This window comes from Homo sapiens, chromosome 6, assembly GCF_000001405.40.
Source record: "Homo sapiens chromosome 6, GRCh38.p14 Primary Assembly".
Taxonomy (NCBI): Eukaryota; Metazoa; Chordata; class Mammalia; order Primates; family Hominidae; genus Homo; species Homo sapiens.
Genome location: NC_000006.12, coordinates 12667291 through 12677973, shown reverse-complemented (window position 1 = coordinate 12677973; position 10683 = coordinate 12667291). Strand labels below are relative to the sequence as shown.

Here is a 10683-nt window from a genome sequence, read left to right as displayed (position 1 = left end):
CATCATGGCCATCCAAGGTTACCACTTGCCCAGTCTGAGATCTCTGCAGTGATGGGGTGTAGGCTACTGAGAAGTCAATGAATCCCTGTCAATTCCTGACAGATGAGAAGGGTGAGCCTACAAACCAAATGGAGATGTGGAGACTGAATTCCTGAAATAAGAGGGTGTGCTGAGCATGGAGAAGGTAACTTTAGAGATGGAAGCTAAGGACTTTGAGAAACTGTCCAGGCTTCCAGTAGAGAACAGCCTTCCCCCTCCCATTGTGCCTCATACTGGTTCATTTCCAGCCTCCAGGGAGCAAACAAGCAGGGTCTATGATAGACAGTATAATGGAGTCCCCAGAATTCACATCCAGGCAGCCCAGCATTCAGAGTAGTGAGAGAGAAGAAACTGTTCTGCTTAAGTCAGAGTGGACTTTTAATCCCACCTAGATCTTCATGTAGGCTGTCAAACTAGGCTGAGTACAGAGGCTCATACCTGTAATCCCAGCAAAAGTGAGGTTGAAGTAGGAGGATCACTTGAGGCTAGGAGTTCAAGACCAGGACCAGCCTGGGCAACATAGTGAGACCTCATCTCTACAAAAAATAAAAAATAAAATATAGCCATGGTACACACTATAGTCCTAGCTACTCAGGAGGTTGAGGAGGGAGAACCACTTGAGTCCAGGATATTAAGGCTGCAGTGAGCCATGATTATGCCACTGCACTCCAGCATGAGTGACAGAGTGAGACCCTGTATCAAGGAAGGAAGGAAGGAAGGAAGGAAGGAAGGGAGGGAGGGAGGGAGGGAGGGAGGAAGGGACGGAGGGAGGGAGGGATGGAGGGAGGGAGGAAGGAAGGAAAAGGAGGAAAGAAATAAAGAATCTCAGCCTTGTTTTCGGGGCTTTAAAGTCCTGCATTTCAAAGTATATTAGTCTGTTTTCATGCTGCTAATGAAGACATACCTGAGACTGGGCAATTTACAAAAGAAAGAGGTTTAATTGGACTTACACTTCCATGTGGCTGGGGAAGCCTCACGATTGTGGTGGAAGGCGAGGAGGAGCAAGTCACATCTTATGCGGATGGCAGCAGGCAAGAAAAGAGAGCGTGTGCAGGGAAACTCCCGTTTTTAAAACCATCAGATCTCGTGAGACTTATTCACTATCATGAGAACAGCATGGGAATGACCCCCCCCCACCATGATTCAATCACCTCCCACCAGTTTTCTCCCATGGCACATGGGAATTGTGGGAGTTAAAATTCAAGGTGAGATTTGGCTGGGGACACAGCCAAACCATATTGCAAGGTCAATGAAATATAGTCCTAGTGACCCAAAAGTATTTCAAATCTGGCAATGAAAAACAAAAAACTATCAGTCCCCTAGGACTGGTTTCTTCAGGCTAACATCTAAAATTCAATCTGTCTTTTTCAATATTGAAAGAGATCTCAATGTTCATTATAAACGCTTATCAGACAAAGCTGGAAGAAAACAGAGAAAATGACTTTTACTATTGGACATCAGTTGGTGTGAGAGCACCTGTAAATATGTCTCAAAACAGGACCATGGAGACAATGACAGCAATGTGAGGCCAGGACAGGGCAAAGTTAGTCTGAGGACATGAGAAGGCAGCAGAAATGGCACAGGCTAGGATATGACTCAAAAAGCCTTTTTATATGGCTGGTCTTTTCTTTAATTGCCTCTTTGCCTGGTTTTCATGGCAAAGTGTGTCTGTGGGAAATGCCTTAGCAGAGAACCAAGGCCTAATAATTCAGCTTGACAGCAATGCTGACTGGAAAAAACTGCAAATGCACACATGGCTTGTCTATCTATTTTAATCATCTTTACTAGACAGTTGCCTAACCATCCACATCTATTCGCCAGTTTGATCCATCTTAAGAGCACCTGCTACGGGCCATGTCCCATTATCTGAGTGATGGCCAGAGGTCTAGGGTTAATGGATGGCTCTGAACGTTGTGATCAGGTGCTGCTACGGGTGATTTGCACACATGGCAGTTTAAACTTTGCAGAGCTGATTCGTATGAATTCCCAATCATCTTCCACCATCCATTTGCCCTCCATCCCTCACCAACTAAGCTTCTCAAAAGAATTGACTTCACGTGGCTTCTTACTTCCTCACTTCACATAGACTACTCAGCACCCTAGGGTTTGGCTTTAGCCCCCACCACATGGACTTGTTGCCGTATTTACCAGATGCTCCTCCGTTCTTATCAGATCTGACATGACAGTTCACTTCCTCACTTGACATCTCAGCTTTTTTGGTTCTCCTCATACATCTCTGAGCATTTTAGCTCCATGTCCTGTGTGGCCCCTTTATTTGCCCCATTGCCATTGGTATCCCTGTGTTAGCTTCAGCCCAGTTGTTTTTCTCTCATCAGATAATCTCTGTACCCATATGCCCATTCTCATGTGCTCAACCACATTCTACATACTGATGAGTCCCACATCTGCCCAGCACAGAATTCTCTCCTGAAATTCAGATTGTTTACCTAATTCCTGATAAAGCTAACGATTCAATCTCCATCTAGGCACTAGCTCCACTTTAGCTAAACTCAACCGATCCACGCTGATGGCATCATCTTTGGCTCTGTATTTACTCTAGCTTGATTCTATATCCAGTCAACAAACTGTGAAAGCATCTGTGAATGCTTACTGCCATCCTTCTTACTCTCTCACAAAAATATATCCCCCAAAGCCATCAATTTTTAGTTTATAATTATCTCTATAATTATTTCTTCAAGCCATCACTGCCTCTTTCACCTTACGCTATCCTAGAACAGATACTCTCTAGTGGGGAATATTGTACCAGCCCCTGCTTATTTTACCATCCTTTGATCTTTTTCCCATCACATTCATTTTTCACAAAGCAAATTGTGAAAAATGCCTTAAAATCCTTCATTGGCTTTCCAGGACCGGCAGAATAAACCCCAAGTTCTTTGACATGGTGTATATATATCTGACTCTGACCTGGCCTCTGCCTTCCCTCAAATTTTATCTTTTGTATTTTATACTCTAACAACACTGAACACTGAACATCGACCATTGTTTACTTCCCTGCCTTTGATCATGCCATGCCTCTACTGGGAAGGTCTCTTCCACCATTTTTATTTTTTACTTTTTTGATTTTGATTTTTGATTTATTTTTATTTTTTTCTATGCATTTTGATTTTTTTTCTATGCACTTTTTTTTTTTTGAGATGAAGTCTTGCTCTGCCGCCCAGGCTGGAGTGCAGTGACACAATCTCAGTTCAGTACAACCTCCACCTCCCCAGTGCAAGTGATTCTTCTGCCTCAGCCTCCCAAGTAGCTGGGACTACAGGTGCATGCCACCACGCCCGGCTAATTTTTCTATTTTTAGTAGAGACTGGGTTTCACCATGTTGGCCAGGCTGGTCTCGAACTCCTGACCTTGTGATCCGCTCCCCTCAGCCTCTCAAAGTGCTGGGATTATAGGCTTGAGCCACCATGCCCAACCTTTTCTATGCATCTTTTAAAAATGACTTCAAGTTCTACCTCTTTAGGAAGTCTTTGCAGTTCCATCCTCCCCACTCCCCAAACCCACTCTGGTGGATTATGGGATCTCCTGTAATCCCGTAATTTGCACATTTCTCCTTGCTTGAACTTACAATAACGCGTTGCAATGTTAATGCCTCTCTCTCCCACTAGGCTTTGAATTCCCTGAAGTCAAAGTCTGATCCCTTCATCATTGTGTGTTCAAATCCAAGCACAATTCTTGACCAAGTGAGCACTCAACTAGTGATCGTTGAATGACTGACTGAGTCTGTGAACAGGTCTGGTTCTTAGTTTCCTTTGGTAAATTAAAGTATAGGAAGGGGTAAAGAATGGGATTACTATAAAAGGAGTACACATCATTTGTAATTGTTACACCTAATTTTAAATGCAATTACTTTAAGAGAAACACTAATGGATGTGGAATTAAAAAGAAAAGAAGAGATTGCATGCAGTAGGGGATGAGAAATGAGCAGGAGAGGGGTCAGAAAATACACTGAGGAGGGCCTGGAATTTAAATGGGAGGTTGAGGAACACAGCAAGAGGTCTGGCTAGTAAAAATGGGCTCTGGAGCCCCATCTAATTAGGGCCCTTTTTGATGTGTAGCAAAAGAAACAGCAGTAACAAATATACTGGGGGAAAAAAGCTAACTCCTTTTCCCATTCCAGCGGGGCTGGTGTATCAGCCGATGAAGTACAAGGTTCTTATTTAGGGTGGCACTTGGGAGAGAGAATCCCCACGAGGAGAAAGAGAAAAGTGGTAGGGAAGTACCTAGGAGGAGATTCACACTCTTGGCTGGCAAGGTGCCCTCTCCCTTTGATTGCTAGAAAGGAAGGAAGGAAGTTCACTCAGTTTAAGCCATGAGCCAGCCCGCCTTGCTCTCTGGGGAGATGGTCAGTGCTCTGCTACCTAGGACTCAGCAGGGAGCTGCCACTCATCAAAAACACAAATTAGTTTCTCTTCTGACCCACCTGTGCAGTCCTTTTAGGGTCCAAGGACTCAGAGGCAACCAGCGCCTTTGGCTCATTTGTCAAAGGAGGGTAAATTTTTGAAAAGCAGAAGTCACTGGAGAGAAAAGGAGATTTTATCCCAGGCAAGAGGAGCAGGAATATCAGGAACCTGAAAGTGGAAAAGTGTAGGGTACAAGTTATCTAACCTGTAGAGTACAGTAAAATTGGGAGTTACAATTGAAAAGCTATATTAAGTGAAATGGTATATTTGAGTTCTAGGATTTTCCTTTTGTGCTATGTGAATATGTATATATGCATCTATTCTGCAGACTTGTCTGTGAATTTCCAGAGACCACAGTGGTAGATAAATCGGTGGCTGGACAGGGAGCCAGCATGAGAATCACTGCTACAATCGCACTGCAGTTGTCAGGAGAAGACACTGCAGATGTCACCACTAAACAGTCGATGCCACAAGTTGGGCCACCACTGCCCAGCCCTGGCTTTCATGCACGTCCATGTGAAGAGACCACCAAACAGGCTTTGTGTGAGGAACATGGCTGTTTATTTCACCTGGGTGCAGGCGGGCTGAGTCCAAAAAGAGAGTCAGTGAAGGGAGATAAGGGTGGGGCCGTTTTATAGGATTTGGGTAGATAAAGGAAAATTACAGTCAAAGGGGGGTTGTTCTCTGTCGGGCAGAGTGGGGTCAAAAGGTGCTCAGTAGGGGAGCTTTTGAGCCGGGGTGAGCCAGGAGAAGGAAATTCACAAGACAATGTCATCAGTTAAGGCAGGAACCAGCCATCTGGATGTGTACATGCAGGTCACAGGGGATACGATGGCTTAGCTTGGGCTCAGAGGCCTGACATTCCTGTCTTCTTATATTAATAAGAAAAATACAATGAAATAGTGGTAATGTGTTGGGACGGTGAAAATTTTTTGGCGTGGTATGGAGAGATAATGGGCGATGTTTCTCAGGGCTGCTTCCAGCGGGATTAGGGGCGGCATGGGAACCTAGAGTGGGAGAGATTAAGCTGAAGGAAGATTTTGTGGTAAGGGGTGATATTGTGGGGTTGTTAGAAGAAACATTTGTCATGTAGAATTATTGGTGATGGCCTGGATACGGTTTTATATGAATTGAAAAACTAAATGGAATAAGAGAAGGAGAAAAACAGATATAAAAGGTCTAAGAATTGGGATGACCTAGGACATCTAATTAGAGAGTGCCTAAGGAGATTCAGCATAGTCCTGCCAGCAAAGATTATTTATTTACTTCAAGAGTTAAGAGTGGCAGTTTGGGGATAGCACCAGGAGATATCAGCTGTGATGGCTTGGAGAAACAGTGTAAACCCGCAGTGTAAACAAGAGCAGGGCATGTATGAGTAGTTGAGAACGGTGAATAGGAGTATGACTAGACAGAAGATAGTAGGGATGACAAGTTTTTTGGGGCACAGTCTAAGTTGGTCTGGTGTCTGGAATGAGACTGGGGCCTAATAAAAAGGAGCATCTATATAGGAGCTCAAATGGGCCGTACCTTGTAGCATTCCGAGGACAGGCCTGAATTCTGAGAAGGGAAAGTGGTAAAAGTATTGTCCAGGCCTTTTTAAGTTGGTGGCTGAGCTTGGTGAGGTGTGTTTTTAAAAGACCTTTAGTCCGTTCTACTTTTCCTGAAGACGGAGGACCGTAAGGGATATAAAGGTTTCACTGAATACTAAGAGCCTGAAAAACTGCTTGGCTGATTTGACTAATAAAGGCTGGTCTGTTATCAGACTGTATAGAGGTGGGAAGGCTAAACTGAGGAATTATGTCTGACAGAAGGGAAGAAATGACTGCGGTGGCCTTCTCAGACCCTGTAGGAAAGGCCTCTACCTATCTAGTGAAAGTGTCTACCTAGACTAAGAGGTATTTTAGTTATCTGACTCGGGGCATGTTGAGTAAAGCTAATTTGCCAGTCCTGGGTGGGGGCAAATCCTTGAGCTTGATGTGTAGGGAAGGGAGGGGGCCTGAATAATCCCTGAGGAGTAGTAGAATAGCAGATGGAACACTGAGAAGTTATTTCCTTGAGGATAGATTTCCATGATGGAAAGGAAATGAGAGGTTCTAAGAGACGGGCTAGTGGCTTGTACTATAGCATAGCCTGCCTTTGCTGGTGTGTGGCGATTAGGCCTGGTGGAACCGCCATCAATAAATCAAGCGTGATCAGGGTGAGGAACGGGAAAGAAGGAAATATGGGGAAATGGGGTGAGTGTCAGGTGGATCAGAGAGATACAGTCATGGGAGTCAGGTGTGGTATCAGGGATAATGTGGGAGGCCGGATTGAAGTCCAGGCCAGGAACAATGGTAATTGTGGGACTTAACAAAGAGTGAGTACAGCTGAAGGAGCCGGGGAGCAGAAAGTATATGCGTCAGGTGCGAGGAAGAAAACAGATTTTGGCAGTTATGAGAAATGTAGAGAGTGAGTTGAGCATAGTTTGTGATTTTGAGGGCCTCTAAAAGTATTAGGGCGGCAGCAGCTGCTGCACAGAGATATGATAGCTAGGCTAAAACAGTAAGGACAAGTTGTTTGGACAGAAAGGCTACAGGGTGCGATCCTGGCTCTTGTGTAAGAATTCTGACTGCACTAACGATGCCTAGGAAGGAAAGGAGTTGTTGTTTTGTAAGGGACTGAGGTTTGGGAGATTAATCGGACACGATCAGCAGGGAGAGCACGTGTGTTTTTATGAGAATTATGCCGAGATAGGTAACAGATGAGGATGAAATTTGGGCTTGACTGAAGTAATGGGGGCTGTCTGTGAAGCCTTGCGGCAGTACAGCCTAGGTAATTTGCTGAGCCTAATGGGTGTCAGGGTCAGTCCAAGTGAAAGCAAAGAGAGGCTGGGATGAAGGGTGCAAAGGAATAGTAAAGAAGGCATGTTTGAGATCCAGAACAGAATAATGGGTTGTAGAGGGAGGTACTGAGGTTAGGAGAGTATATGGGTTTGGCACCACGGGGTGGATAGGCAAAACAATTTGGTTGATAAGGCGCAGATTCTGAACTAACCTGTAAGCCTTGTCTGGTTTTAGAACAGGTAAAATGGGGGAATGGTAAGAAGAGTTTATAGGCCATGCTGTAACAGGCGAGTGATAACAGGCTTTAATCCTTTCAAAGCATGCTGTGGGATGGGATATTGGCATTGAGTGGGGTAAGGGTGATTAGGTTTTAATGGGATGGTATGGGGTACATGATTGGTCACTAAGGAGGGAGTAGAGGTATCTTATACTTGTGGGTTAAGGTGGGGAGATACAAGGGGAGGATGTGAAGGAGGCTTTGAACGGGGGAAAAGGCAGCAATGAGGTGTGGCTGTAGCCCAGGAATAGTCAGGGAAGCAGATAATTTAGTTAAAGTGTCTCGGCCTAATAAGGGAACTGGGCAGGTGGGGATAACTAAAAAGAAGTGCTTAAAAGAGTATTGTCTAAATTGGCACCAGAGTTGGGGAGTTTTAAGAGGTTTAGAAGCCTGGCCGTCAATATGCACAACAGGGAAGCAAGGGAAACAGGCCCTTGAAAATAAGGTAATGTGGAGTGAGTAGCCTCCACATTGATTAAGAAGGGGACAGACTTACCCTCCACTGTGAGAGTTACCTAGAGCGTCTGTGATGCTCCTGTATGCTTCTGAGGCAATCGGGCAGTGTCAGTCTTCAGCTGCTAAGCCGAGAAGATCTGGGAAGGAGTCAGTCAGAGAGCCTTGGGCCAGAGTTCCAGGGGATCTGGAAGTGGCTGTCAGGTGAGTTGAACAGTCCAATTTTCAGTGGGGTCCCGCACAGATGGGACATGGCTTAGGAGGAATCCTGGGCTGTGGGCATTCCTTGGCCCAGTGGCCAGATTTCTGGCACTTGTGGCAAGCTCCTGTGGGAGGAGGTTCTGGAGGAACCCCTGGCAGCTGCGGTTCAGGCGTTTGGAAGTTCTTGTGTGCTGGAGATGTGGCTGGGGTTTGTCTCACAGTGGAGGCAAAGAATTGCGACTTTTTTCTATTATTCTACACCTTGAAGGCAAGGTTAATTAAATCCTGTTGTGGGGTTTGAGGGCCGGAATTTAAGTTTTGGAGTTTTATTTAATGTCGGGAGCAGATTGGGTAATAAAATGTATATTGAGAATAAGACGGCCTTTTGACCTTTCAGGGTCTAGGGCTGTAAAGCGTCTCAGGGTTGCTGCCAAACGAGCCATGAACTGGGCTGGGTTTTTCATATTTGATGAAAAAGCCTAAACGCTCACTAATTTGGGAGAGGTCTGATAAAGAAAAAGGAGCATTAACCTTGACTATGCCTTTAGCTTCAGCCACCTTTTTAAGAGGAAATTGCTGGGCAGGTTGGGGAGGGCTACTCATGGAATGAAACTGTAAACTGGACCGGGTGTGAGGAGGGGAGGTGATAAAGAGATTATAGGGTGGAGGAGCGGAGGCTGAGGAAGAATTGGGACCTAGCTCGGCCTGGGGAGGAGGGGAGAGGTCAGATGGGTCTGTAGAAAAGGAAGATTAGAAAGACTCAGCGATGCTTGGGGTTGGGACTGAGGGGACAGGTGGGAGGGAAAGAAGGAAGATTTGGGATGAGTTGCACTGGGCACAGAGACTGGGGAGGGACTGATGTGTAAAAGAGTGCCTGGACATCAGGCACCTCAGACCATTTTCCTATTTTTCGACAAAAATTATTTAGGTCTTGGAGGATGGAGAAATCGAAAGTGCCATTTTCTGGCCATTTAGAACCACTGTCAAGTTTGTATTGGGGTCAAGCGGCATTGTAGAAGAAAATAAGGCATTTAAGTTTTAGGTCAGGTGAGAGTTGAAGAGTTTTATGTTCTTAAGAACACAGGCTAAGGGAGAAGAAGGAGGAATGGAGGGTGGAAGGTTGCCTATAGTGAAGGAGGCAAGTTTAAAGAAAAGGGAGAGTAGAGACACAGAGGGAAGTTGTTCGGGGGTTCTTACCCTCCAGAAAAGCGGGAAAGGGGTCAGGGCACAGAGATACGAGGCCGGGGTGTGGAAATAAGGGATCAGGGTGTAGAGATATAAGAGGTTGTGGTGCAGAAGTAAGGAATCAGGGTGCAGGGATACGAGGTTGGAGTACTTGCCCCACCCCTAGAAAAGCGGGACTTGCTGCTAAGGGTGAAGAAGAAGGGGTTGGGGGTTTCTTGCCCCCAAGAAAGGCAGAGAAGGGGTAGAGACATGGAGAGAAGGGGTTGGGGTACTTCCCCCTCCCCTAGAAGAGTGGGACTTACTGCTAAGAGTGAAGGAGAAGGGGTTGGGGGTTTCTTGCCCCCCAGAAAGGCAGAGAAGGGGTAGAGACATGGAGAGAAGGGGTTGGGGTACTTCCCCCTCCCCTAGAAGAGTGGGACTTACTGCTAAGAGTGAAGGAGAAGGGGTTGGGGGTTTCTTGCCCCCCAGAAAGGTGGAGAAGGGGTAGAGACATGGAGAGAAGGGGTTGGGGTACTTGCCCCTACCCCAGAAAAGTGGGACTTGCCGCTAAGGATGAAGGACCAAGGCAGGCGTCCCTGCATGGTCTGACACCTCTGAAACATGGGTGAATAATCAGAGAGGTGTCCCTGCAATGATTAAACACCAAGGGAAGGCTGCCTTCCCAGTCCGTGACCGGCGCCGGAGTTTTGGGTCCACAGATAAAATGTGTCTCCTTTGTCTCTACCAGAAAATGAAAGGAATTGAAATTAAAAGAAGGGAGAGATTGAAGTGTGGCACCAAGATTGAAAGGAGAAAGAGGTTGAGGGATAGTGAGGGAGGTTGGAGAAGAGAGTAAAAACAGGCCACTTACTGGATTTGAAATTGGTGAGATGTTTCTTGGGCTGGTTGGTCTGAGGACCTGAGGTCGTAGGTGGATCTTTCTCATGGAGCAAAGAGCAGGAGGACAGGGGATTGATCTCCCAAGGGAGGTCCCCCCAATCCGAGTCATGGTACCAAATTTCATACGCGTCCGTGTGAAGAGACCACCAAACAGGCTTTGTGTGAGGAACACGGCTGTTTATTTCACCTGGGTGCAGGCGGGCTGAGTCCGAAAAGAGAGTCAGCAAAGGGAGATAAGGGTGGGGCTGTTTTATAGGATTTGGGTAGATAAAGGAAAATGACAGTCAAAGGGGGGTTGTTCTCTGGTGGGCAGAGTGGGGTCACAAGGTGCTCAGTAGGGGAGCTTTTGAGCCGGGATGAGCCAGGAGAAGGAATTTCACAAGACAATCTCATCAGTTAAGGCAGGAAC

At 46.1% G+C, this 10683-nt stretch overlaps 2 annotated features.

Moving 5' to 3' along the window:
• Positions 4324-4825: an enhancer, noted in NCBI's record as "H3K4me1 hESC enhancer chr6:12673381-12673882 (GRCh37/hg19 assembly coordinates)". NCBI's record gives its function as "activates a minimal SCP1, AML or CMV promoter by ChIP-STARR-seq in naive H9 embryonic stem cells {active_cell/tissue: H9 hESC(naive)}" and the evidence as "EXISTENCE:reporter gene assay evidence [ECO:0000049][PMID:30033119]".
• Positions 5541-6042: an enhancer, noted in NCBI's record as "NANOG hESC enhancer chr6:12672164-12672665 (GRCh37/hg19 assembly coordinates)". NCBI's record gives its function as "activates a minimal SCP1, AML or CMV promoter by ChIP-STARR-seq in primed H9 embryonic stem cells {active_cell/tissue: H9 hESC(primed)}" and the evidence as "EXISTENCE:reporter gene assay evidence [ECO:0000049][PMID:30033119]".